The sequence below is a fragment of the Homo sapiens genome, chromosome 7 (genome assembly GCF_000001405.40).
Source record: "Homo sapiens chromosome 7, GRCh38.p14 Primary Assembly".
In the NCBI taxonomy this organism is placed as follows: Eukaryota; Metazoa; Chordata; class Mammalia; order Primates; family Hominidae; genus Homo; species Homo sapiens.
Window position 1 is genome coordinate 154,949,931 of NC_000007.14, and position 27,920 is coordinate 154,977,850.

The following is a 27,920-nucleotide window of genomic DNA, read 5'->3' on the forward strand; positions in this document are numbered from 1 at the left end:
GAAAAATACAGTAATACAGCTAAGACGATCCTGTCACAGATGAGACATTGAGATTTTGGTTTTTTCAAACAGGGTTATGTTACCTTAGTAGTAGCAATGTAAAGACTCAACCTGAACATTAAACTTTTCATGGAAGTACAAAAGAAATGAGTATCCTAGAAATTGATTATAATATTGATGTCTCAAATTTTATGTAAGTTACACATAAATATAAAATCCCAAAAACATGCACCTACCAAAACAGGTGGAGAAAAGAGTGTTTTCAACAAATGATGCTGGAACAACTGCACATCCATATGCAATAAAAGGAAGCTGGACACAGACTTTACCCTCTTTTAAAAAAAACTGACCCAAAAATGGAACACAGACCTAAATGTAAAATGCAAAACTATGAAACTCCTAGAAGATAACACAGGAGAGAATCTAAGGGACCTTGAGTTTGGCAATGACTTTTTAGATACAACACCAAAGACACAATCCATGAAAGAAATAAGAAGTAACCTGGACCTCACCTATTAGAATGGCCAAAACCCAGAGCACTAACACCAGCATATGCTGAGGAGGATGTGGAGCAACAGGAGCTCCCATTCACTGCAGGTGGGAATGCAAAATGGCACAGGCACTTCAGAAGACAGCCTGGCGGTTTCTTACAAAGCTAAACATACTCTTACCATATGATCAAGCAATTGCAACCTTGTTGATTTACCAAAAGGAGTTGAAAACTTACGTCCACACTAAAACCTGTACATGGATGTTTTAGCAGCTTTACTGCTAACTGCGAAAATTTAGAATCAGCTAAGATGTCCTTGTGTAGGTGAGGGGCTGAACAGATACATTCTGACAATGGAATATTATTTAGTGCTAAAAAGAAATGCTTTATGAAGCCATGAAAAGACATGGAGGAAGCTGGGACGTATATTGCTAAGCAAAGGAAGCAAATCTGAAAATCCTATATACTGTATGATTCCCAATATGTAACATTCTGGAAAGGGCAAGACTATAGAAAGAATAAAAGATCAGTGGTTGCCAGGGGTCAGCAGGCAGGAAGGAATGAGTGGGTGGAGCACAGAGGATTTTCAGGGCAGTGGAACAACTCCATATGACGCTGTAAAGCAAAATCATGTCCTTACACATTTGTTAAAACCCAATGACTGTTCAAGGCCAAGAGTGAGCCCTAATGTAACTATGGACTTTGGGTGACTGGCCAAGAGTGAGCCCTAATGTAACTATGGACTCTGGGTGACTAGCCAAGAGTGAGCCCTAATGTAACTATGGACTTCAGGTGACTGGCCAACAGGGAGCCCTAATGTAACTATGGACTTCGGGTGACTGGCCAAGAGTAAGCCCTAATGTAACTATGGACTTTGGGTGACTATGACCCAAATGTCAATGTAGCTTCATTAACAGTTAATAAACATTTCACTGTGGTGTGGGATGGTGACTGTAGTGGGGGTGGCGGTGTGTGTGCATGGGTATGGGCTGGGGTATATGGGAACTCACTGTACTTTCTGTAATTTTGCTGTGAACTTAAAACTGCCCTAAAAATTGTCTATTTTTAAAAAACAATAATTATAAACTGGAAAAATTCTCTTAGGAAATCCTAAAATATGGAAGATAAAATATGAAATGTTTTCTCAGTATTAAATGTTTATAACAACCACTTTCTAACCCTCAGAGAGCAACACAGCAAATACTTATTAACAGTGCCATAAAGAAATAAAAGCTAGTCAACCAAAACTTCCCATTAAATAGGAACTGTAAACTTTATATACAGATAAAACAACCACATTTTCACAAACTGAAACTTGAAAAATTAAGTAAATTGGTCATTCACTAAATTGGCTGCTTGGCAAACTAATTTTCAAAGAATTAGCATGTTCTTGGTTGGAAAAGAAAAAGAATAAGCAAAGTCAGAAAGTAACAAAAAAGATCTCTAAAGCTGGGTGTTGCCCAAAAGCAGCCGATGGAGCCAACCAGAGGCTGGAACATTACAGACCCGCTTTCCCCACCACCCAAGCTGGTGTATGCCATGCTCCCACAGCAGAAGCTAAAAAAGTACACTTACTATTTCTATTAACGAATAGACTATCTCCTTCTAAACTGTATAACATTATATGAAATTGGAAGCTAAAATGTTTGTAGTAATTGTTTCTACTATGTTCTTCTTCTGCCTTCATTGTTAAGTTTTATGTTTCATTAATACCTTTTTAGAGTCAAAAAATTTTCAAAATTTCAATTAAAAAAATTTCTAAATACCACTTAGTACATGCGAGCCGCATTATTTCACAGATTCTTTGCTAATTTTCCTCCCCTCTGAAATTTATTTATGAACCCACAATCAGTGTCTGTGGCACTTCGGTGGCCATTTGTGGACGTACGTGGACTGGAAAAGATTCAGTCACCCACATGAACGTTCCTAGCCGGGAGGAACAAGGCCATGCCTTGCCTTCCTGTTCCAGCTGAAATGGTGAATAAGCATCCTTTTTGTGATCTATTTAGTGCTATTGCTTTCAAATTTGTGTGCTTTATGTTGGTGATTTTGCTGTTTAAAATGTCCACAGCCCTAAGTGCAAGAAGGCAGTGATGTGCCTTATGGAGAAAATATGTGTCTCAGGGAAGCTTCATGCAGGCGTGAGTTACAGTGCTGTGGATCATGAGTTCAATGTCAGTGAATTAACAATATACATTGAATAAGGTACCTTTAAACAGAAACACACATAAAACAAGGTTATATATGATTGGCTGATGAAAATGTAGTGAACAGAGGCGCTCAGGAACCTAACCCCGTGTTTACCCAGAGACTACAGTACAGCATTCACTAACTCAGTGTCTGTGCAACTTTATAGAGCATAACTACCTGTATGACAAGAATTGCCTGAATATCATAGTTGAGGATTTAGTCTTTCCTTCAGATTAATGATTTATTCTTTCCTGAGTCTTACTGCCTTAGATATACAGAATCATAAAATTTTAACTTTACTTCTAGCTTTGCTATAAACAGCAATCTTAAGTATCTTTATTTTTCTGGGTCTTCTCATCTGTAAAATTAGACTACATGAACTTTAAGATATATACACTTCTAATTTATTTACATAAACATGAATTATATTTAAAATCTGTGGCCAAAAATGTGACATGAATCTAAAATATTTTAAATTTAAAAGATGGATTTAATGACGACTTGTGTCTGTTAAGTGATAAATAAGGTGAGTTTAGCCACAAGAGTGTAACGGGACCTAGTAGCGCCCCCTGCAGGCCTTGCTTGCTCCACAGCCACATGACTTGCTCTTCCCTTTGGCAGCTGTATCTTTCTGCTTAAGGGGTCGGGGGCGAGGGAGGCATAGGTGAGAAAGTGCGAGAACACGTCAATATAGGGCAAACAACTGGCACAGAAAAATGAGCATGTGGATGCTCTAAATCAGGGGCTGGTGATCAATATCATTGCTACATGATGGAGTAGCCAGGGAGCTCAGTTTTAGTGCCAGTGTGGTTGGGGCAGAAAGACCAAATGAGAAAAACGACTGAGAATTCAGTGAAGCTTGTCATGGGGCATGTGTCTGAGCCTTTCAACCCAGACAGGGCCCAGGGGAGGATGGAGGACACAGCTGGGGAAGCTGAGAGGTGCCTGACCTAGATGACGCACTGGGGACACCAACCCTGCAGACACAGGGTGACACCACTCCTATGCAGGACAGTAAGGGCACATAGCTGCCCTGGCTATACAACCTCCATGAAGAAAAAAAATTGCTTAGAATTTATACTTATTTTATACCTAGCAAGGTTCTAAAAACATTTAGGTGTGTATCAATCTAAGAAAAAACTATCCTTTACATACCATGTCTAAATGTGCCTGTTAGTAAAAGAATTTCTCTTTGGGGGCTCTGAACAATGGAAGATGGGCAAGAGGACATAGATGTCTTTCCCTCCTTATATAAACTGATATTCAAAGTGTATTTGAGTAGGACATTTACATACACCTGCTCTCTTTCCAAATAAAGAAAAAAATACTTCCCTGCACTTTGAAAAATCTCATTTTACAGCCAGATTTCCAAACAAAATATACTAACAAGAAAATAAAAAGAGGGATATAGAGGTTGTTTTCCCCCTAATATTGTCCAATTTACCAAAACTTTTACACCTAGGGTAAAATGCAAAGACATCAATCAAAGGAATCACTGGGGATATGAAATAAATTTTTAAATTTAAATGAATAACTATCACATAGTTTAAAAATTAAATATTTGTTGGGATGAAAAGAGATGAATTCAAGAAAAAAAAAAGTTTATTTGGCATTAAAAGCAAAGTTACTGGCGCTGCTCCTTACCAATGAACTTCTGACACCTGAAGCATTCTTCCAGCCACTCTGGCGTCACTATGTGCTTCACGACAGAAATCGCCGTCAGGAACTTCACGGTGCGAGTCACTTTGCTGGCAATGAGGTGTGTGCACTTCTGTGCAGACTCCGCAACCTCTCCACCAAGAATGTAGAGCTTCTAAAGGTCACAAACACAGGTCGGAAATGAAAAAGTTCAGCATCCACAGAGCCACACTGACACAGAGTAACACAGAGGAATATCTACCTAAAGACAAGGTTTATGACTGTAATTCTCAGCCACAGAAAACAGTGTGACAGGTAAAACAAAACCTGTAACTACAAGAGAAAAATAAAAAAGAGAATTTATCATTTACATTTCTGTAGTTCAATTCCACACAAATCAAGATTAAAACATGAATTCTCCATCAAACATCAATAACATATCTCCATGAATAAATTAAATGACATGAGAATGATGCAGCTCACTTCACAATGAAGAGTAAACAGCCAAGACTTCCTAGGCCAAAACTGGTGTTAATGAAGAACATTTACCTGCTATCTTCATTTTTTGAAATGATAGCATAAAAACTGGCTAAGACTTGAGCATATAAAAAAGCGAGCTCCTAATAACTATCCTCACATTTTAAAGGTGGAGAAATTAATTTGTTCTAAATGTATAATACTAGCATTTATAATTGTTTCTTTTCCTTAAAAAGGAAACCAGGAGTAAAATGTACGAATCCACCATAATACAGGTCAACTTATACTCTTAACCATCCTCTCCCTCACCAAAACAAAACAAAATCCCATCATCCTTTGGGATGTTATTTCAAAAAGTATATTTAAAACCTGTGCCCATTTATCATCTAAACAAATACACAAACTCCTTTTTGGCCTCACTCTACCCAAGAAAACTAATCTTGGATAGACTGTGTTTCAATCAGAGATCTTGAAAAGACAGTTTTCCTTCATGCTGGATGTCTTTATGAATACGACACAGAAGGAGACTTGCAAATGTTCATGTGACTATTAACATGGTTCCTGGCCTATACTAATAAGAAAGCAAGTATCTAAGTATGAAATAATAGCACAGAACAGGGCAGGAAGCCACTAAATATTTAGTTATTACTATAAATACTACTAAAAATACTTCATAAATATGCACCATAAAGACTGTTATAACTATCTAAACTATGTAAGTTAATAAAACTGCTGATCTGAAGTAAATATATACAAAAAAGGACACTGCTAAAAATCCTTGTACGAAGTAGATGAAATTTCACCTTAATATACTGTTGAACCTGGACAGGCTCGAATCCAGTGAAAAGCACAAAAGGGGTCAATTCTGGAGTTAGCTTTTTAGTGGGAGGTGGTACGTCTTCAATTCTGTGGAAGAAATACACATAAAATAGTAGTGATTTCATATTTACTTACAATGAAAATTTTCTTTAGAAAACAAGGGATTTCATTAGTTTAACAAGCTTTAACTGCATGTGGTTTTTATTCTTAAAGGAAAAATACAATGAGCTATCTGTCCTTCCTTTCTTTCCACCATTTCCATAAAGTCACCTTCCAAAAAAGACTACCTTTGAAGCCTCCAAGGGAGGCATCCAATTCACTTTTGGTTAAGATCAATACTTTCTTCTTCATCAATCCCCTCCTGATTAATTTTTTTAATTGGCTTTCAGAAGAAAGCAAATATCAAAGTTGCTTCTAAACATCACTGATTTTGCTAGCTCTATCACTTCATTTTTTTCTATCAAGTTTTTAAGATAACCTTGTGTGACTCAGGCCATTCCTTGTTTGCACGTTCACCATCAATACAAGTCAGCCAAGACGAGTGTCGCTAGAGCTTCCAGTGTCTTTCACATTCTAGCCCTCTTCAACCACAAATTATAAAAACGTGGCTCTGCTCAAGCACACGTTTTAAATTAAACCTTTTTGTTTTTTACATGAATTTTTTAGGTCTTTTTTTCAGGTTATTATTTTCTGAGACAGTCCAATAAAAATTTATTTTAAAATGTATTTGTGGTAATTTGATGACAGCCTCAAAAAAATCACATAATTAGGATTTTATTACAAAAGTCAACAGTTCAGTTTGTGTTCTGGAAGTGGGGAATGGAAGGAGGGAAAGAGGAGGAGCAGGGAGAGAAAAGATGAGGAACCTGGTAACTGCAAAAAACAATTCAAGCAGTTATATTTCACCATGTACAGTCTGGAAAGAAGAGTTTTCTAGAATCAAGGAAGAAAATAAAAGCTCTGTTAGTTTGCTCCTGCATTTGCTATGCCTTTCTAATTAAATGATTGGAAGGACTTCATTATTGACTCCTGCTGGCCGACATGACACTAAAATGATATGCATCTCAATCTGCATACTCCAAGCCAAAACCCAACATGCCATATGCATTGCACATGTCCTTCCAAAGGCTTTGGGTCTGGATCCTCCTTCCCACCGTGGCCAACATTGCTTTGTCCTCATCAAGAACTGGCAGATCCAAGGAGCATACCCAAGATGACGCCACAGCCTACATGCTCTCTCGGCACCTACATGCTCTCTCGGCACCTACATGCTCTCTCGGCAGCCTACATGCTCTCTCGGCAGCCTACACGCTCTCTTGGCATGTACAGCAGGTTCTTCAGCCGTGCCCAGGAGGCCTGGGGCTCCGTGGTCTATCTCTGAGCTGGGTTCTAGACCTCCCACCCCACTTCCACCACTGCAACTTCTGTTTTACATGTTGGAAAGGGGCTTCTTATAATATGCCACTTAAAGAAAAAGACTGAATTTTTTTAAAATAAAAAATATACTGGCCTATGTCATTAAAATGAAATATATCCCAATAAAGTTGTAAAGCAAAAAGCAAACTCTTTCAAATCTTATTTACTGCAAAACATTTTAGAAACTTTCCTCAATTGCCACCGATTTTCCAAAGCAGACCTGTGAAAGCCAGCAATGAAAAATTTAAGGTTATTACTCATACCTGGCTCTTTTGGAAGAAGGCTGGACATTAGCTACTTCATTCTGTTTCAGTTTGGGAGGTAGTCTTATACTCTGCAATTAAAATATTGTCGACTTTAATTCAATCAATCTACTAAGTAATACAGTAGCTTCCAGAAGATTTATGTGTCAAATAATCAAACTACTTAAACATATACAAGAATCATGTTCTTCTTCACCACATCAGAACTAGTCTTCACCTCAAAAGATCACTAGGACAATGCAAGTGGGGAGAAGCAGCTAATATTCCGGAGAGAACCTCTGTATCGTTTTTTTGTTCTTTTCTTTCCCTCTTTATTCACAAAATCCTTTCAGTACTTTAAATTATCTTTGTTGCTTTTTTTCCTCCATGTTATATATATGCAGCCCTCAACCTTGAACTTCTCAAAATGGTTTTTATTTCAAATATTTTGTCCTGTGTCCCAATTTAGAATGTGGAAAACATGGCCGGGCGCGGTGGCTCACGCCTGTAATCCCAGCACTTTGGGAGGCCGAGGCGGGTGGATCATGAGGTCAGGAGATCGAGACCATCCTGGCTAACAAGGTGAAACCCCGTCTCTACTAAAAATACAAAAAATTAGCCGGGCGCGGTGGCAGGCGCCTGTAGTCCCAGCTACTCGGGAGGCTGAGGCAGGAGAATGGCGTGAACCCGGGAAGCGGAGCTTGCAGTGAGCCGAGATTGCGCCACTGCAGTCCGCAGTCTGGCCTGGGCGACAGAGCGAGACTCCGTCTCAAAAAAAAAAAAAAAAAAAAGAATGTGGAAAACATGATTGAAATTACACCTCCACCCTAAAAGACTATTCCTAAAAGAGAAATTTCACCTATGAGATTTCACAAAAGATGTTACATGACAATCAGATCAACACTGCTACCAACAGCCAGACAAGGTACCAAAACCTACACTCTGCCTCAGCAACATGGTCACATCCACTAGGACCAGCTCCAGTCCCTGACCCTGGAGCAGAAGCCATGCCAAGCACAAAGAGAGCAGGAAGGAGATGGGATTCCCTTGTGGGGTCCCTACCACAGTCAGCATCTCCATTCTACCCTATTCCTTGTTGACTCCTCCTTCATAGTTTCAACTCAGAGGTTCTTTGACTTGTGTGGGCCAACCATGTCTTTCCCAGGTGTTTTATTACTTGAAGGAATTGCTCTCAATCTTATTAATTTACTTCAACTACAACTTATTTTTTCTAAATATTGCTGCCATATCTAGACAACCAAAATAAATATATCTACAGAAAGCATTCAAAATCTATTAGCCCTGTCATACATAGAGAATCAAGCTTTATAATAATTTGCAGGAAAGTTTATTACTTTCCTATTATAGCCTTTATAAGAAAGCAATTTCTCAACTCTATTTCCAAAGATCGCATTTAAGTCTCCAAATTGTCATTCATTGGTACCAAGAATAGAAACAAATGGTGGGATAGGCAAAAAGGATAAACTGGGCCTCTTTGTCTCTAAGATTTTTAGCTTTTAATTACTGATACAAAGCCACAAGAGAAGCTGACATTTGGGGCCCCTGACAACTTTAGAATATAGGCCATGTAGTTTGGGAGGAAAACTCTGATGACCACTTTCCCAGTGTGAGCTTAAAAGCCACCATAAAATTCCTTTCAGCTAAAAGAACTGTGAGAATATTTGCTTTTGCTGATGTGTCAAAACTGGTCATGTCTTTAAAATTAAAATCATAACTACTAGTTTAAGCTAGGAAAACAATACATCTATGATCACATTATCACTAGCAAGAAGAAAACAAGACTGTGGCTTGGAGGGGCTTCCTCAGAGACGTGGGATGATTATCAGCAGCTTCCAGATGAGATCTGGAAAACGAGTAAGTCAGTAGATGAATAACCAGAAACACAAGCTTGGGTGTTAGCTGCTAATCCTCATGAAACTATTCTCCTCAGCTAGTTGTTCAAGTGGCACAATCCCTAAATTACCTCTGTATACAATAGAAATGTGGTGAAAACTTGGTGGGCACATGACATGGAAATCTGTTTTTCAAAACAAAGGTTAGTATGTAACAACAAGAACATAAACCAAAGCCTTTAAATTACACTACTACTGGCCAACAGTAAAAAAAACTGCTGTTCTCAAAGTGCTGATGTTCAGTCGAACAGTGAGAAGTCACAGCAGACAAAGTCTAAACTGAAAAATTATTGAAGTGGTCCTGTCTGTAACTTAGTAAACGTGAATGTGGGGAAAAGAGAAAAAACAACTGATCTTCCACTCATCATGCTTGACAGATGAGAATGCAGAAAGCACCTCTTTGTCTTGTAACTAACAACCAATGGCCCTCACACTTCAAGAATGGCCTATCCTGAAAAGCAGAGACCTCCAGCCCTGTGATGTGACTCCCAACTCAGGACACTATGAAAACATTCCCCTCATCAAGAGACCCGGGACTCCTTAAGTTCTGATCTGTAGCCCCAAGTAGGTTACACACCCATTGCTTCCAGTGGTTCTTAAAGTTCTTGCCTTTCTAACCCTATGAAAAATCAGTCCTAGGATTTACTGGAGTAGATAATTCGTTATCATGTTGACAAGTTACTAAAATAATTTTTAATTTATGAAGACAAATACATCCCTACTGCATCTTAATAATACAGTAATAGCCAAGGTAAGGTTATTAATTTGACATACCATCAACAACTCTGCAGACACTTTTAAGGGAACTCTCCAAGCATCTAAAGAGAGAAACACATTATTTTTTATGATAGATACGTTGTTTAAATAAAAAGGCCTTTTTATAAAAGTCTTCCCTGATAATCCTCACCAGACAGGTGGTTTAGCTGACAACACTTAATAAGGATAAATGTAAGTACTATAATGAAGTTTTAAAGAAAGCTTTCCAGGCAAGGTGAGGGCATGCTGCTGCTTTCGTTTCACATGCTGTCTGGATGAAGTAGCACTAAGACCATCGGCAGCAAACAACAAAGCAAACGTTGTGTCGAAACCCATGGCATTCACCCTCCCACCGTGGGTTGTCTGGGTACACATTTCTAGGCCTGTGTCCAAGTCTGGGTTTCACATAGTCTGGCTTCTAGCAGGCACAAACCTTCTTGCCTTATCACAGGAGCCATGATGGCATCCAAGATGTAACAGCAAGTCAGTCAAAGCTCAATAGTGACAAAGAGGACAGACGTCAATTCTAGGAAAGCAGGGAATGTTCTGTAGGGTAGGGAGCAATTTGGACAAAAGATTAACTGGCCTGAGAGGCAAGACTATCAAAAAGCTTTCAAGCGCTCCTTCCATCTCTAAGAGTTCATCAAAAGCAAACAAAAATACTAAACCATGGCACATGCCTGTAGTCCCAGCTACTTGGGAGGGTGAGGTAGGGAAATCACCCGAGCCCAGGAGATCGAGCTGCAGTGAGTCATGATCACACCACTGCATTCCAACCTGGGTGACAAAGCGAGACCCTGTCTCAAAACAAAAACAAAAACAAAAACAAAAACCAACCAACAAAAATCCTGGGCAGAGTGGGGAGAAAGAAGAAAGAGTATAGAAAAGAAATTGGAAATGAGTCAAAAACTAATTAGAAAGCTCAAGCCAGGCCTGGTAATTAGTATGAATAAAAAGATGGTAGAAGTAATGCTAATGATTTTATTTAAGTAAGATTTGCAGCATGTAGAATTTCACTTACCTAAAAGATTTAAAACTAAATGCTGGGTAGGGGCAAATGGATCCTGCAGACTGAATGCCGTGTAGCGACTATACTGAATCTGCCTCAGTGCCTCAAAGTTTCCCAGAAGAATGTCGCCAAGCCACTGGGCGTTGACACAGGGTATCCTCCACTCTTTGGCTTTTTCATACTTTAAACCAGTTGGTCTTTTTATTTTTTGAGGAGAAAACATATTTATTAAATGTTAGAGATGTCAACTGTCCAAATGTACATTTATTTCCAACAAAAGGCAATAAAAAATTTCTCATAATAGAAGTGGGAGGCATATCCTAGCAAAGTTGAGGGTGACCCTGAATGGTAATGAAATATACACCTCAAGGCTCACACAGAATTACAAAACCACTAAGGAGTCTTACTTCTACCCTATTCCTGTTTTGTTCATTCAAATTTCATTAGTTCATCTAATTTCATTAATTCAAATGTTTTCTAGGTATTTCTACTAACATTACTATATCATTGTCATACTTTAACAGACTTTGATTTCCACAAATTTCTACCACAAAACTATGACATACTAAAAAAGGCACAATTATTGAAATAGCCACTATATTGTGTGTAAATTTATGATTAAAAACAGTTTCGAAAATTTGCTTACTCTTTACAGATGAGGACTGTGTTGCTGCGGCATAGATAACCCGTATATTTGGCACCTGCCAAATAAGCCATTAATTTTAGGTCATCTCTGTCACTATCAACAAATCCAGTCACAGAAATAATCTAAGAAAAAAAGAGAAAATAAGGTAAACACAAAATAAGCAAAAAACCAAAACCAAGTACTATTTCTTCTACTTCTTAGTTGATACATATTTTTTCACTATTTCTTTGGCATTATGGAACACATTTGGTAATATCATTCCTAAAACTTTCAAGACCAGAACTGTATTAATGGTCAAAAGGTTACACACATAGCCCTCACGGGGAGGAAGAAAAAGAATGAACATGAGATGCCTTGTTTATGTTACTGCAACACTGCTCAGACAATCCCAACAGTTATGTTATAAAGCACGTAACCACGAGCCAGCTCCTCCTTCTCCTCACTGATCCCAACGCTGAGATCATTTGAGTGGGAAGACCCACAACTATTGATTAGTTAACCCAACAGGGGCCGCCTTTGGTGCAAGACATCTGATTTATTTTTGGATTTTAAATAGTGTCAAAGACTGGAGAATCCATTAAATATCTACTATGTGCAGAAAATTGTGACTGTTACACAGAACTAAAAGAAAACACACTATTTCTTATGAGCAGGCACTTATGAACTGGGCAAAAGTACATAGAGAAGCTCTGACTCAGAAGCCAACGCAGGAGCCTCAGGTAAGCACTAGCAAGTGATTATTCGCCAAAGTCGAAGGATGATTTAACAAATGGAACGCGAGGACTCTGTCTTACATGCTGTGAACATGGCTTTCCTCCTGGTGGGAAGGCCACTGGGAAGTGAAGGGCTCGGTGCGGCGGTACCATTTTCTTCTTCTTTAAGACTGTGTTTAACCAGTGTGCAGTAACACATCTCTTTCTTTCTCTTATTGCCTGTCAAACATAAAATTATAGGTTTGTTGTTTTTGTTTTTCTGCTGCAGGATTAAAGAAAATTCTAAGGTTGTATAACTACAATGCCCTTTTCATTGGAAGCCCCATAAAAGAATTTCATGACATCTAGCACTTGATTAAAGTAACGAATTAAAACCGTGTAGCTGGTTACTTGAAATACAACCTAAAAATGTTACTATCCATCTGCAAACAAGAGTCTACAAAAGCAACAAATTCTACAACAACCTTAAAAATAACTTCAGTGATGACTGAAACAACATGTGTGACCACCAAAGTTAAAAGTGCCCCATAAGGACAGAGGGCCCCACATAAGAAAAAATACAAAAAACCATCCACCTAAGATGAACCACAGGAAAACAAAAAAAAGTCTCAGAAGTATTTCCACATTTTTACAGGAAAAGCAGATCCTGTGAATGGCTATCCTCTTTAAGAGGGGTGTCTTGGAAGTCATTTGTCACATATATATATAATCTGTCTACAATAAGCATTATTTTTTGAAAAGAAATGAAACTTCAGAGAGCACAGGAAGGTAATATTGAGGAGAAAGCCTGCACCCCGGTAGTTTTAGAAAAGCTCTGTAAGGGACCTGGTCTTTACACGCTTGTGTGCAAGTCACACACCAGTACAGAATCCTGCGTCCCTTCACCGTGCACAGAGAGCAGCTGGAATGGTGACTGCAGGGAGTGTCCGCCCTTTCTTTCTTTTATTTTTTTTTGAGATGGAGTCTCGCTGTGTCACTCAGGCTGGAGTGCAGTGGTGGAATCTTGGCTCACTGCAACCTCTACCTCCTGGGTTCAAGCAATTCTCCTGCCTCAGCCTCCTGAGTAGCTGGGATTAGAGCTGCGCACCACCACACCTGGCTAATTTTTGTATTTTTAGTAGAGACAGGATTTCACCAGGTTGGTCAGGCTGGTCTCAAACGCCTGACCTCGTGACCCGTCCACCTCGGCCTCCTGTCCGCCCTTTCTTAACACCACCTGGGAACATCCCTTTCTTTCTCCATTGCTCAAAGACAATGGTGCCCACAAAAGATATCAATCCCACCAAAGATTCGATCACAGGAAGAAGGAATTTTCCTATCTTTAGAGGTAGAAAAAAGTTCTTTCCAAAAATAATAATCACTAGCATTTAAGATTGCATATTAAAAATGCCAGACCTTGCTCCTGGTCGCAGCTAAGGCTATTTTCCTTACCTGTGCATACGCGCTGCTGACTTGACTCTCACAGAGAAGGTGCGTGCATCGACTCGTGAAGGTGGGGTCAACAGTGCCGCCATGTGCCTGGATTATCTACACACAAAGACCCGACCAATGCAGTCATCAATCACTCAGAATAGAGGAGAATTCCAATTTCAAATAAGGCAGCTATTAAAAGACTCTATCATATATTTATATCATGTATTTCCTCAAAGTATCAAGGACATGTAACAGTTCTATTTACGGACTTTTCTACCCAGCACCATACAATGAAAATGAACTCCAATACTCTAAATTTAATCTGAATTCCCAGGATACAAGAGAAGAACAATGGAATGCACTCCAGGGCTTCTCAAGCTCAATGTAACTGCCACTCTGGACCAGGGAGTTCTGGGAAGTGGGGGCTGTCCTGTACAGAGGAGGATGTTTGGCAGTGTCCCCAACTTCTACCCACCCTATGCCAGCAGCAGCCCCCTAGCCGCGACTACTAAAGATCTTCAGATACTGCCAAAGGTCTATGGTGGGCAGATCCACCTCCCTTAAAAAGGGAAATAAAAAGCAAATCAGAATGAAATTAGTAAATCCCAACAGTTTCTTCTCAAAACACATCTGGTTTTCTGGGGGAAGGAATTGCTCTGTGTCCGGGCTGTGACAGCTGCACGACCCTGGACATTCTTCAGAACTCAAAATATTGTACATGGAAAAAGGAGAATCTGACGGCCTATTAGGTGAAATATAAACTTTAAAAAGACCTGCCCCCTAAGAAAACCGATTCTTTCACTTACTACTTTTAAGATGTGAATGTTTATTTTTCCTATGGCTAAGCATAAATATAGTTTAATGAGGCACAGGACAAAACCACAGGTTCCTCACCCATCCCTGCTTTTCACTCCCCTGAAGCACATTTAGCACTTTAAGCTGTTTCCACTGACAATTATTAATATATTCCAACTAACACTTTATATTAGTTCCTTTTCTCTAGTTTTACATAACCATCTACCTCCTACTGTGGACACCGTTCCCCCCAATAACACACACATTCTTCAAGCCTTCCTGATTTGGTTATATCCAGACTCTTGTTTAGATCATTCATCAGTGACTTAACACAATGTAGCCCAGCCACATGGCTTAATATGGCAGCCTAAGATTAGAGTTCCTTTCTGGTATAAACTTTGGTTTTCCCTGGTGCTAATCACTTCCTCATCCCAGCCCCCCAGAATTTTCCCTTTTCTTAGTTTTCTATATACCTTTTACTATTTCATTCCCAAACTCTATGAAAAATGTACATATGGTGGTTCTATAATATGTCTGCAAATTACTGTATACTCCTCCCTCTAAGAGTTGGAGCTTTACTCCCCTAGCCTTAAATATGGTCTAGACTTAGTCACTTAATATGGTGGAATTGACAGTGGGAGTCTCCCATAACTCAGTCACAAAAGACACCATAACGCTGCGGGTTTTCCCTCTATCTTGGGTCACACCCCCTGGGGAAGGGAGCCAGCTGTCATGCTGTGAAGACACACAACCAGCCCTCTGGAGAGCCTCTGTGGTGAGGAGCTGAGGCCTCCAGCCCACAGCCATGTGACGGAACCATCCTGGAAGGGGCTCCTGCAGCCTCCGCTGGCATCCTGACTGCAACCTCAGGAGATAGCTGAGCCACAACCGCCCTGCCAAGCTGTTGCAGGATTTCTGACCCACGACCAAACTGAGAGGTAATGTTTATTGTTTTAAGCCACTGGGTTTTGAGATAATCTGTTACACAGCAAGAGAAAATGAATGTAGTATCACCTATACTTAAGCAACACAGGTGTGAACTGTGTGGGTCCACTGATAGCTGGATTTTCTTCCACCTCTGCCACCCCTGAGGGAGTAAGACCAGCCCCTCCTGTCCCTCCTCCTCCTAGGCCCACTCATCGTGAAAACGACGAGGATGAAGACCTTTATGATGATATACTTCCCCTTAATGAATAGTACATATATTTTCTCTTCCTTATGATTTTCTTAATAACATTTTCTTTTCTTTAGCTTACTTTATTGTAAGAATATGGTAATACATATACAAAATATGCGTTAATTGCCTGTTTATCAGTAAGGCTTCTGGTTAACACCAGGCTATTAGTAATTTGGGTTTTCGGGAATCAAAAGTGATGTACAGATCTCTGATTGCATGGGGGTGAGCACCCCTAGGCCCCACACTGTTCAGGGGTCAGCGGTACATGTCTCTCCTCAATCTACCAGTGTTTTCGTTTGCTTGCTCCTCCTGGAAGTCTCTCTTCCGGTCCCAGGTCTAGTTCTCTCGACACCTACTTTCTCATCTATTGGCGTTTCCCTTTACCTCCATCCTAGGAACTCTCTTTCAATCTCTGAGTCAAATGCCTCATTTCCTGGCTACCATGTTTCACTCTCTGCTGGCATAGTGGCTTCCTAAGAAAGAATATAAGGGAGGTACATTTTTTACCATTAGTCTACAAATATCCTCCTTCCATAGTCTTATGACTGATAGGCTCTATAGGTTATTTTAGGTTGGAAATTATTTTCCCTCAAAAATGGAAGAAGCTGCTCCATTGCTGGCCCCCGCGCACTGCACTGGAGGCTCCCGAAATCACCCAGACTCCTGATCTGTCCACGTTTCCCCTCCAGTGAGCTTGTCTTTGAGAGAAAACAGTTTTCTCTACCAGCATTGTGAATGTTCCCAGTTGCCTTATCATGGCTCTCCTTACATTTCTTTTCAACCTGAGGGCACATGGCCTTCAGTTGCAAAGCTATTTTCTTTCATAATGTTCTTGCCTTCATTTTCTCTGTTCCCAAGATCCTATTTAATGTTAGACCTCTTGGATAAATCTTTTAACTTGAAAACAAGACAAAAACCCCAAACTTTTCTCCACTAACTTTTGTATCTTTGAGTTTTGTTGTACTTCTCAAGACAGTTTCTCAGTGCTGCCTTCGAACACTTCTGACTTTTAAAAAATCTCTGCTGCTGTCCTTCTCAGAACTGCTCCCTTCCTTCCTCACCCTGGCACATGCCATCCGCCTCTTTCCTCAGCCAGCCACACAGTCATCTCCCTGGTCACCCTCAGATTCAACCCTTTACTATTTAAAATGCACAGCTGATCACTTCACCTGCATCTAAACTTCACCACATGGCACACCAACAAGGTCTTGGAAGACACACCAGCCCTGGCTCCTGCCCCAACCCCTGCCTCGTGGATCCCACTGAGGCACCCTCCTTTGCACCCTCCTGTCAGTTTCACCAATCACATGCCTTTGGCTGTGCTGCACTATTTGGAAAATCCTCCCCCCTAATTCTCACTCCTACTCATCCTATAAGCAGTTCAGGAATCACCTCTCCCAGCAGACTTTTCTTAACACATCACCCCACAACACGATGGGTGAAGGTCCTTTCTCAGGCTCTCACAACAGCCTGCATTTGCCACCCCACCTCTGCTTAGCCGTGTGGCTGCCTCTCGCACTGCTCTTCCGTTTTCTCCGTCTCTGTGATTTCGCACATATTCCCTAAGTCTTGCAGCATGCTTGGCACATAGCAGGGATTTAAGCACTAGGGATGTTTATAGTGAAGCACATTCAAGATATATTAGAGGCATATTTAAACTCGGTTTTTATAAAAAAAATTTTTTGACTCAGTTTTGTTTTGGGGAATGCAAGAAAAAGTATTTCTTTTCTTTAAAGGCCACCATGCATGATAATACATAATTAAATTAACTCCAGTTTCACAATTGGGCTGGAAGAATTTGAGGTTCTAGAGATTCCAGGATTTTCTAACAGTTACCTTTGGAGAAAGAGAAATGACTGAGATGCATACAAATTAATAGTCCCTCTCCCAGGACACCAAAACCCTGAACTTATTTCCATTGCCCCAATTATACACATATAATTAGTGCCCCCTGGAATTTCCAAGCTGAAAAAAATAAAAAGTCCACCATCTTCATCTAACAGCTGAGAAAACTGATGCCCAGAAAAGTGCTGTGCCTCAGGTCACACAGAATGTTAATCAAAATGCCCGTCACACATTCAGAACACGTGCAGGTGCAGCTCAGTGAATGCAGCTAAGTGAACACAGTTACATCTACATAAGAAAGAAGCATCTTCAGACACAGTCATCCTTCCTCCAGGCACAATCTCACCCTTTTCCAGGTGGCCAGCAGTTGCTTATCAGACATCTGCTCTGGATAATCCGCAATTGCAAACACACATCCCAATAAGAAGCCTTCTTCTGGAACTAGAGTAAAATTACATAAGAAAAAGAAAATTAAAACCCTATGAATATGCTTGCACAAAAGTTAAAAAGTGGCGCCTCACAATGTCAATCTGTTATGTTTATCAGTCTTGACCATGACGTATCTGCCAGTAATCAGAGTGCATAGGGAATATTGCTACGAAGATACTATTTAACTGTCTACATCAAATGATCATTAAAAACTAAAACCAAGGTAACTCATGCCTGGCCATTAAATACCCTGAATGAGTCCCTGTGGCAGCCTAGATGTTCTACGGGACACCAATATTCACTTCAGGATATGATGTCCCAAAGTACAAAAGAAAGCATAATTATCCCATGGTAACTATATTCTTTGTTAGGTATGAGACTCACACTCTCCATTTTGTAGTAATTGTTTTGATATGAATCCTCACCCCACACTCAAACACTCTCAAAGCATTTATGTGGGTACAAGACTTTTAGGAGAGAGGAAAAATAATCTCCATTACTAACTCTCCACTGCTGGATCATGTCCAAAAAGCTGATGCTGCTGAGGCGATGGTGGTGGCTGCTGTTGCTGCTGCTGCTGCGGGGGCTGCTGAGGTGGAACCTGATGCTGCAGCGCCTGTGACGTCTGACTCAAGTGTGGCGCTGTCTGACTTTGCATCTGCTGCTGCTGCTGCTGCTGGTGCATGCGCTGGAGCTGCTGCTGCTGAATCTGCTGTTGCTGCTGCTGCTGGAGCAGGCTGTGCTGCTGCTGGAGCTGGGCAAGCTGCTGCTGCTGGAGCTGGTGCTGCTGCAGCTGATGGAACTGCTGCTGCAGGGCATGCTGCTGCTGAAAGGGCTGGAGCTGCTGCTGAGGGCGATGCAGCTGCTGTGGAGGATGCAACTGTTGCTGTGGAAACTGTAGCTGTTGCTGTGAAAACTGATGCGGATGGGCTTGCTGCTGCTGCTGCTGTTGCTGTGAAAATGGATGCGGCGGCTGCTGGGGGTAAGGTTGCTGAGAGATCTGCTGCTGCTGCTGCTGCTGGAGCTGCATTATCTGCTGGGGCTGAAGGTGTAAAACCGGGTGCTGCTGCTGCTGCTGCTGGGCCTGCTGCTGCTGCTGTAGCATGTGTGTCTCTGGAGTCACTTTCACTTGGCTAAACAGCACTGCATTGGCATTTGTATGTCCCTGCTGGCTGTGATTCACCTGCTGTTCTAAATTTTTCGTAGGTGCTGAAAGAGTCTGTAAGATCTACAAAACAAAAGTTAGGTGAAACATTATCAACAGTTCCTGAAACAGATGAATGATAATTTCTTAGTCAAGAGAATGGCATATCCTATTTATTAACAATATTCAACTAAGTAGACACAGCAAATGATTGGAAACTGCAAAAACAATACTGCATTTTCTTTTGTATTTATTTTGTAACGCCAATATCGTAAAGTAAATTCATATATTGAGACCACCAAAATTTGAAACTACATCAGTAAAATGGAGTAAACTAACGAATTAAAGTGACAAAGACTCAGACGGCTGATGTGTTTGCCAGAGCAGGGCATGGGAGTCCTGTGCACACCTGGTAGCTAAGCCTTGGTGCTCCCTGCACCGTGCTGCGGCACCACTCCACTGCCCATCGCCTGCATCAGCTCCGCAGACCCTCTCCTGGCCCAGGAATGCACTGAGGAATGACAGGTGGTGAAGGCATCTGGTAATCGGGCTCAGCCTCACCTCAAACCTTCTCGCCACAGCTGCCACTTCCCATTTCCTCTTGTCTTACAGCCCAGAGTCTAGTAAACAAAGGTTCTCAGTGGATCACCTTCCAGATGAAAGCAGCATGACCCAAGCTGTGAGTCCAAGAGCCTTTCGCTCCACTGTCAACTTGCTATGTGCACTGGCATGCTATGGAAAAGGAGGCCAGCTAAGACACCACCGGGGCTGTTTAAATGGTGATGTTCCTCCCAACTAAGGACTCATCATTAGAGCTGGGAAATGATGCTTCCTCAAAAATGACTGAGTCTTCATGGGGGACACAAAAATATTTCAAGCTAGAAAAAAAGAATTCAAACCAGACTATTTGTCTTCTAGCTCTTTCTGCTTCACAATGACAGGGAATAAGCTGAGAGTTCTGTGTACGCTGAGGAGTAGGAGAAGGACGGTGACCAGCAGATGCCCACCAAGCAGAGTAAGTTATTTTTTTAATATCCTATAGGGCACTGAATACAACAAGAGATACACATTATACAATGAATTTTGTTCAACATGCTCAAGCAACAAAAATTTGAAACCAACTTCTTATGGTCATGGAAATCAGTAAAAATAGATTTTACTTAACTCAATCCATACAACTTTTAACCCTATTAAAAGCATTTAAAATTTAAATAAAATTCTAGGAATTTAACACATATCAGAACTATACCAAAATCTCAAACATATTCTAACATGTATCTTTCACTTAAACAGATTCCAAATTGCAAAGATTATATGACCTGCAAGGGTAACAGATTTTGGATTTAGTAATAAATAAGGGAGTTTAGAATTGAAATAAGTCAAAATCAAGAGCTTGGGCACACCCATCTCTAAAATCACCTTATGTATGAGACATCTCTATAAAAGGATTCAAGACTTCAGAAACACCTGAGTGGAACTCTAAGCAGAAAAATGTCTTTTAAACAAAATAATAAGACAACTGTTTCATCTCCATATTTAAAAGTATTTTTAAAAATCCAGAAAAGAAGATGGGACAATTCACCCCACAACATGCCACCCCATGGAGCCCAGCAGCATTTGGTGCTGTGCAAACACCCCCTAAGAAGCATGCACGTGTGGGGCACCTGCCTGCCTGGTGGGCACCAGCCATGAGCCCTACACGGCAAACTGCTGGAAACAGCGGCTGCCTCTTGAGAAGGTAAACAGCAGCGAGGGGTGGGAGGGGGGCTGAGAGTTTAACTGTTCACTCTGTCCTTTGGTATCATTTGAATTTTTGAATTTTGTACACATATTACTTTTTCACCCTCATATGTAAACAGCCCATGGAACTCTGAGGGATGGTAAAGAAATAAATGCCCGTCTGCAGGTGGACAGGGCTGAACTAGTCATTACCAAATGCTGCTCCCCGCCTCTCTGTACCTGCCAAGCCCAGGTGGAAGGGAGCTCAGGAACAGGCACAGGACCTAGACAAACACAGCAGCAGACATCAGGACAGCACAGAGGCCAGAGGCTCCTATTTTTCAGATTGGCCAAGAGGACTCAGCAGGGTCTGCTGCCTGCAGAAAGTGCTCCATCTGATCTCAGAGGGCTGAGGGAGGCCTAGGTAGGACAGGAGGCAACTTACAGCTGTTTCTACTACGGGCTTGAGTTAAGATGGGTCCTCATCCACTGCTGACCCAGCCCATCCACTGCTGACAGGAGGCAACTTAACAGCTGTTTCTACTACGGGCTTGAGTTAAGATGGGTCTTCATCCACTGCTGACCCACCCCATTAAGGGAGAAGAACAGATGGAGATTCAGGACAAGAGTCCCGGCTAGGAATGAAGATGGCCGTTGGCCTGGAACCTTCTCCACTTGAGGAAGCGAGAGGTGCAGGCCTGGATGGAGAGGAGAAATCTGCAAGGCCAGCCATCGAGATGCCTCCCAAAACCCCTACCACATTCATCCGATCACTTTTTCAACCATCTGATCTGCCTCTGGCTGGAAACATGTTAGTCCTGGAGAACGTAAGAAAAAGAATCTTAATTGCTCAATTACGTAATTGTGCTATACTACAAACAATTCTGAATGAATGTCAAGTTTAAATTTTTCCATCACAACTGTCATAATCCTCATTTACATTAATACTGAGTTACTGAATGCCATATATAGAAAGCAGTATGATACACATCACATGGCTTCTAACCACTATAAATTTGCAATTTAAACAGGATTTTGATGGTAAGTTACACTCCCCCCAACAATCTAATGTTCAACTAAATCTGTCTCATATTTCTAAAGTTTCAGTCATTTTCTTCACATCTAGAAGTAAAACGTCCTTATGTTCTCTTGCATTGCTGAAAGTCTCTCAGAAAATCTCCGCAATTCTTCTCACTAGTGATCAAATCCATTCACTCACTAGAAATGGATGGAGCCTTCTCAGTTTTCCACCGCTAGAGCACACAGCTGAGTATATCAAATTTGTCTCCTAAGGACAATTTCCAGTGCAGAGATGTGCCCAAACTCCCTACTGCAGTCAATTCTTTCCATTTCAAAGTAAATTATTTTGTCTCTATATCCAAATACAAACTTAAGGAACTTTATATTTAAACCAACATCCATTGTATTTGAAAAACATAATAAGGCCAGGCACGGTGGCTCACACCTATAATCCCAGCACTTTGGGAGGCCGAGGTAGGCAGATCACCTGAAGTCAGGAGTTCGAGACCAGCCTGGCCAACATGGCAAAAACCCGTCTCTAATAAAAATGAACAAACATTAGCCGGGCGTGGTAATGGGCACCTGTAATCCCAGCTACTCAGGAGGCTGAGGCAAGAGAATCGCCTAAACCAGGGAGGTGCAGTTTGCAGTGAGCAGAAATCCCACCACTGCACTCCAGCCTGGGCAACAGAGTGAGACTCTGTCTCAAAAAACAACCAAAACATATATATTAGAAATAAGTAGTAACTAACCAGCAGTAACTGACCAACACTTTTTGACACCACAGATAAATGAAAAGCAAAGAAAATTTCCTATTTCAAATGGATGACTTCTGTCCATAATTTCTCACCTAAAGAAAGTGAGAAAGTAGCCATTTCTCGAAGTGCCAGAGGCTTAATCCATGATTTCTCACACCAACCCTATGAGAGAGATCTTTACGGCCCATATCTCGCATATCCCACTGCTGACAGGACAGGTCCACTGCGTGGCCGCAGTCTTCCTGCCAGGACTGGGTCACCTTCTCAATTCCTCCACCTCAGCAGTATCATCACTCTTCTCATGACTGAGGTCAAAAATGCTAGAATCCTCTTTGCCTCTAGCCTGTCATTCTTTATGGCCTTTACTTTCTACCTGTCATGACATCCTCTGGCTCTCAGGACGACTGTGTGATCGTCACTTTGCTGCTCTGTGGCTGAGGCTGTGCCCTGTGGCTTTATCCCGCCCACCTGCCTGGACGCGGATGTGCAGGGACCAGGGCCGGCACCCTCAGCATTGGGCGGTGCTGGAGCTGGCTCCTTCTGTGCATCTACCTTTTCCCTAAACTCGGCTGACCCCAGCGCTCTCATGGGCACCCACCTGGACAATCCCTGGCCTTGCAGCTCTTGGACCTCCTCATCTTGGTGGCCTTCTCCCCATTTCCTCAGCCACACATTCCCAACCACCCCCAAGACCCATGGTCAGTGGCAGGCCTGTTTTCCTCCGGGACCCAACAAGGTGACATGGAGCGGTGGGCACTGAAGCAGGCCCAAGAGCTCCTAACGGGCAGCTGCTGTTCAGTTACAAGGCACTGTCACCACCCAGGACTTGAGGAAGGCCAGCTCGGCATTTTATCAGGCATCCACCTCTCAAGCCAGAAACCCAAAGTCTTCCCTATCTATGAATCACCTATTTGAAAATCTTCTATTCTCCTCAAACCCGATGACCTTCTCTCTCTGCTCACCTTCTCCCCCACCATCTTAACTGTCTGCTGTCTAACATCTAAAGGGCATGTTTGCCTCTATCTTACTCTGGATGCCAGCCAACCGCTGTCATCATCCCAAGAACCGTGTACTACTAATACTCGCTGCTTAGGTGGAGGGGAGGGGAGACAAAGATTTTGTCTGTCCCACAGCATTTCTAAACACTACGTAAACCACTGCTATTATCATACCCAATAAAATGATCATTGTCAACATCACCTTATACCTACGCCATACTGAATTTCCCCACTTCATCAACATCAAGCCTTTCCACTGAAAGTGGATGTGGAGAATACTGGATCCGGCTTCAGGTTGTTCCTATATGCTACAGAGCCATTTTTCTGGGACTTTGAGCTGTCATTATGAAATGAAAGTGTCCAGAACAAGGTGAAGCGGCAGACGGGGTGTCACCATCAGATGGAACAGCCCAGCTGGCTCTCAATGGTGCGGCTCCTCAGAGCCTGGCCCCAGACCCTCCTCTTGCTCTGCCCCACCTACTACACATTCTCACATCCGCCTCCACAGCTTCAGTCAGCCTTGTTTTCTCTGGTTCCACCACGTAGCAGACAGCCCCTGCATGGATCAGATACCTCCAACCCAACACATCTGAAAAGAAACTTAGGTTCTTCAAACCTGCAGCTTTCCAGTGTTCCTTATCTCTGAAACAGCATCATCTTCCTTCACTCGCTCAAGCCAGAAAGCTGGATCCTCCCATTCATTTTTTTCTGTCTCAAACTCCAACTCTATGTCCTCTTAAGGGGCCTCTCTGCTTCACTCTTGCCCCTCAAAGATCCACTGTTTACACAGAGTGCATCTCACCCCAACTCAAAAGCCCAGTGGCTTCCTTCCAAGAAAGACCATACTCCTCACTATGGCCCTATATGGCAAGGCCCCTTTTAAATCCTTCCTAGAACTCATTCACCTTATGAAGTTCAAATTTCATTAACTTTCTTTTCTTAGAACTCAGCAAATTCATGCCATTTGGGTCTTCCTTTTGCCTGGGAACTCTGTGCCCTCAGTTCTTCACATGGCCTCTCCTTGTCATTCAACCCTGATCTAAGTCACCTCCTGCCCGAGGTCCTTCTTGACCATCTCGTCTAAAATAGCCTCCTTCCCTTCACCTGCTATTACGGGACCCTGATTATTTTCTTTGAAACACCTTTCACCATCAACAGTCCTTTTGTTCATATTTCTCCACTTACTGTATGTCTTCTCTACCTAAATTAGTTTTCTTAGTCACAATTTTATCTCCAGTGCCCAGAAAAATGCAGAGTGGCCAATATACCACCTCAACTACCTTCTTTCTGTCTTAAATAGAAATATATGTACTTAAAACTTTTAAGGCCATGCGTGGTGGCTCACACCTGTAATCCCAGCATTCTGGGAGGCCGAGGTGGGTGGATCACTAGAGATCAAGAGTTCAAAACCAGGCTGGCCAACATGGTGAAACTCTGTCTCTACTAAAAATACAAAAAAAAAAAAAAAAATTAGCCAGGCATGGTGGCACATGCCTGTGATTCCAGCTACTCGGGAGGCTGAGGCAGGAGAATCATTTGAACCCGGGAGGTGGAGGTTGCAGTGCGCAGAGATCATGCAACTGCACTCCAGCCTGGGCGACAGAGTGAGACTCCATCTCAAAAAAAAAAAAAAAAACAAAAACAAAACAAAAAACAACCAGCAACAAAACTTAAGATCCACTCTGTATCAATAAGCTCCATGCTATATAAACTGTAACCTGAAATCAAGCCTTCCTCAACAAATGCATGAATTTGTGTTATTTATTTACTACCATGAAGTTCATTATAAGCAAATCAGGTACAGCTGGTAAACTTCATTATTCTCTTTGCTGCCATTGCTAATTTTAAACTAAGTAAGAGTGGAAACCCTTCAACGGATAGTACTCCATCACTGACATCCTGGTTCTACTCAGCTGCTTTAAATCTTCAACTTAAAATACGCTGTTACCCTTTTTCAATGACCCTGAAATATACATATATACACATACACACACACACACACACACACACACACACACAAGTAAACAGGTTCTCACACAAATACTGCTTGTAAGTTATTTGGTCTGAAAAAGCAAAACCAATAAACTACATTGAAATAGACTGTGAAATCCAATTCTAAGATCCAATACTGACATTTTTTTCGGAAAGAGTGACTTACATGTGCTACATTTGATGGCCGGTTCATCTGCTGAATGTCAGCATTATTAGTAATATTCCTCAGTGTCCGTACAGCTGGACTCCAGGTAGCTATCATTTCTGATCTTTCAGAACTTTGGAGGTTTTGTCCAGCAGCCATTAAATTACCCCGGACCTCAGGGGGCAAAATGTTACCTGGGACGGGTGGGACATTGGCACACAAGTTAATCAACCCAGGCTCCTTTCCCTGAGGCAGCCTGCGTTTTGCTGCAGCTAACTGTGGGACTTCGGCCGGGGTCCAGTTTAAATTTCTCTCCTGTTTTTCCGGTGATGAATCTGAAGAATCATCAAACATTAATTCCCCTTTAGATTTTTCAGTGTTGGATTTAGGTGAAAACTGCTGGTCACCTGAAGGAGACCCTTCTTGAGAGCTGGCAGGGCTTGACTTCTCATCTGTACTACCCTCATTCTGAGAATCTTGTTCCTCATTTTCTACTTCCTCCTCCTCTTCCTCTTCCTCTTCTTCCTCTTCATAAATAATCAGACGAGGATGATAAAATGCTTCGTCCTTTTTGGTTTTCTCTGATACGCAATCCAGAACCCAGTCAGGAGTCACAATTTTAATACTTGCTCGCTTTAAAGCACATTCGTATTTCTCCTACGAGGAAAGCAGAAACACACACAAAACAAAGCTGTAAATTTTATCACATTTCCTACAATTACGCATTTTAGAAAAAACTCAGTCAAGGAATGCAGTTGAAATGTTGAGCAACTATTATTACAATTTTATACAGAAGCAACGTTTGATCTTTTAGACAGAGGACATGAGGCAAAAGTGAAAAGGAACCATACAGCAGTGATCATAGGAAGGTCTCACACCTGTAGCAGGAGTCTTAAAAGACTTGGCTGAAAATTAACTTTTTAAAATGATATTTTAAGTACAAAAGTAGAGCTAGTAATCCTATGGAAAATTATGAAATGAATAATTGCTACCTAAGTTTTTACTGATTGATAATATTTAGAAGCTTGGTTTTCCATGACAGTTAGTAAAGTAACAGCGTGGCAGAGTGCCGCCAATGCATCACGTACACTCATGGAGCATGGCTGACTTGGCTGACTTGCATAGGACAGCTCTATTCAAGATCCAGTATTTATGGAGCTCATGCTATATGCCAAGCAGCACTAAGGGATGGAGACACAAAGGATGCAACAAGTCTCTGACCTAACAAGGCTCACAATTTGGTTCTAAAGAGATATTAAATACGGAATGCAAATACAATATAAAACCACTGCTGAATGATGCAGTAACAGACTGGAAGGGAATCTCATCAACATAAGCTGGAGGGCAGGAGGAAAGCCCCGTTGAAAGGTGAGCTTTGGCTGGGGCACAAATGATGACAATTTGCACAGTTAGAATGAAAGCAGAAAATACAGCCCACTGGAAAAGATGTGTCCGGAGTAGTATGTTCGGCAAGCTAACAGAGACCTCTCCTGTGGTAAAGGGTGTAGAATGTGGAAGGCACAGGGGAGGGAATAACAAAGAAAGAGGAAATAAATAAAAAATGTTAAATAAGAGTAATATGACAATAAAGTAACCTTAAAATAAATGAGTTGTAAATTTGGCTGTGCTCCTAAAAGCTTAACACATAACAGCAATTCTCTAGCAAACACATAATCAGGGCCCTAAACTAAACTCCGTGTCCTGTTGCAGAGCCCCAAGGTGGCATTTGCAATTTCTGGGTGGAATAAGAGTCACACGCAATAGGGATGCGGGGCAGCAGCACAGAGAGGACAGCTGTTGGTCATTCGGTCCTGGCAGCGAACGCCAGGCATTGCCCATCTGGGAGATCCTTGCAAATAGTGAGCTCTGCACACAGCTCAGTGACTTAACTTGTGTTTGTGAGTTTGTTCTTTCTCAAACCTTTTTAAAATATAAGAAAAACCTAGTCATGGGAGACACCCATGAATAAGAAGCTAAGCAAAGGAAAATGAATGTAATCATAATCACACTGACTAGAAAGGACCACGATTAACATTTTTAGGGTATAGTTTAAATTTATTTTTGTTATAAATATATATGTACATATATTAAAAGGGCAAAGGGAAAAAACATATAGTCATAGTGAACAAATACTTTATAATGTTCCTTTTTCACTTAATATATTGTGAACAACCTC

At 41.5% G+C, this 27,920-nt stretch overlaps 1 protein-coding gene and 1 long non-coding RNA gene across 6 annotated transcripts in view; both read right to left on the reverse strand.

The window, feature by feature from the left end:
* The window catches only part of PAXIP1 (PAX interacting protein 1), a 59,722-nt gene that overhangs the window by 6,241 nt on the left and 25,561 nt on the right, over positions 1-27,920 (reverse strand). For all 5 annotated transcript variants that reach the window (XM_011515982.4, NM_007349.4, XM_047420059.1 and 2 more), the window contains 11 exons: positions 25,766-26,401; positions 18,473-19,196; positions 17,886-17,980; positions 13,741-13,836; positions 12,391-12,528; positions 11,597-11,718; positions 10,963-11,147; positions 9,960-10,003; positions 7,294-7,364; positions 5,599-5,701; positions 4,325-4,493 (listed from right to left, as the gene is read on the reverse strand). In XM_011515982.4, coding sequence (XP_011514284.1) covers positions 4,325-4,493; positions 5,599-5,701; positions 7,294-7,364; positions 9,960-10,003; positions 10,963-11,147; positions 11,597-11,718; positions 12,391-12,528; positions 13,741-13,836; positions 17,886-17,980; positions 18,473-19,196; positions 25,766-26,401 — 2,383 coding nt within the window. The remainder of the gene's footprint in view (positions 1-4,324; positions 4,494-5,598; positions 5,702-7,293; positions 7,365-9,959; positions 10,004-10,962; positions 11,148-11,596; positions 11,719-12,390; positions 12,529-13,740; positions 13,837-17,885; positions 17,981-18,472; positions 19,197-25,765; positions 26,402-27,920) is intronic.
* LOC124901781 (uncharacterized) lies at positions 20,124-24,975 on the reverse strand. Its single transcript, XR_007060601.1, has 2 exons — positions 21,277-24,975; positions 20,124-20,158 (listed from the first exon to the last, which is right to left on the reverse strand). It is a non-coding gene; the product is annotated as an uncharacterized LOC124901781 (long non-coding RNA).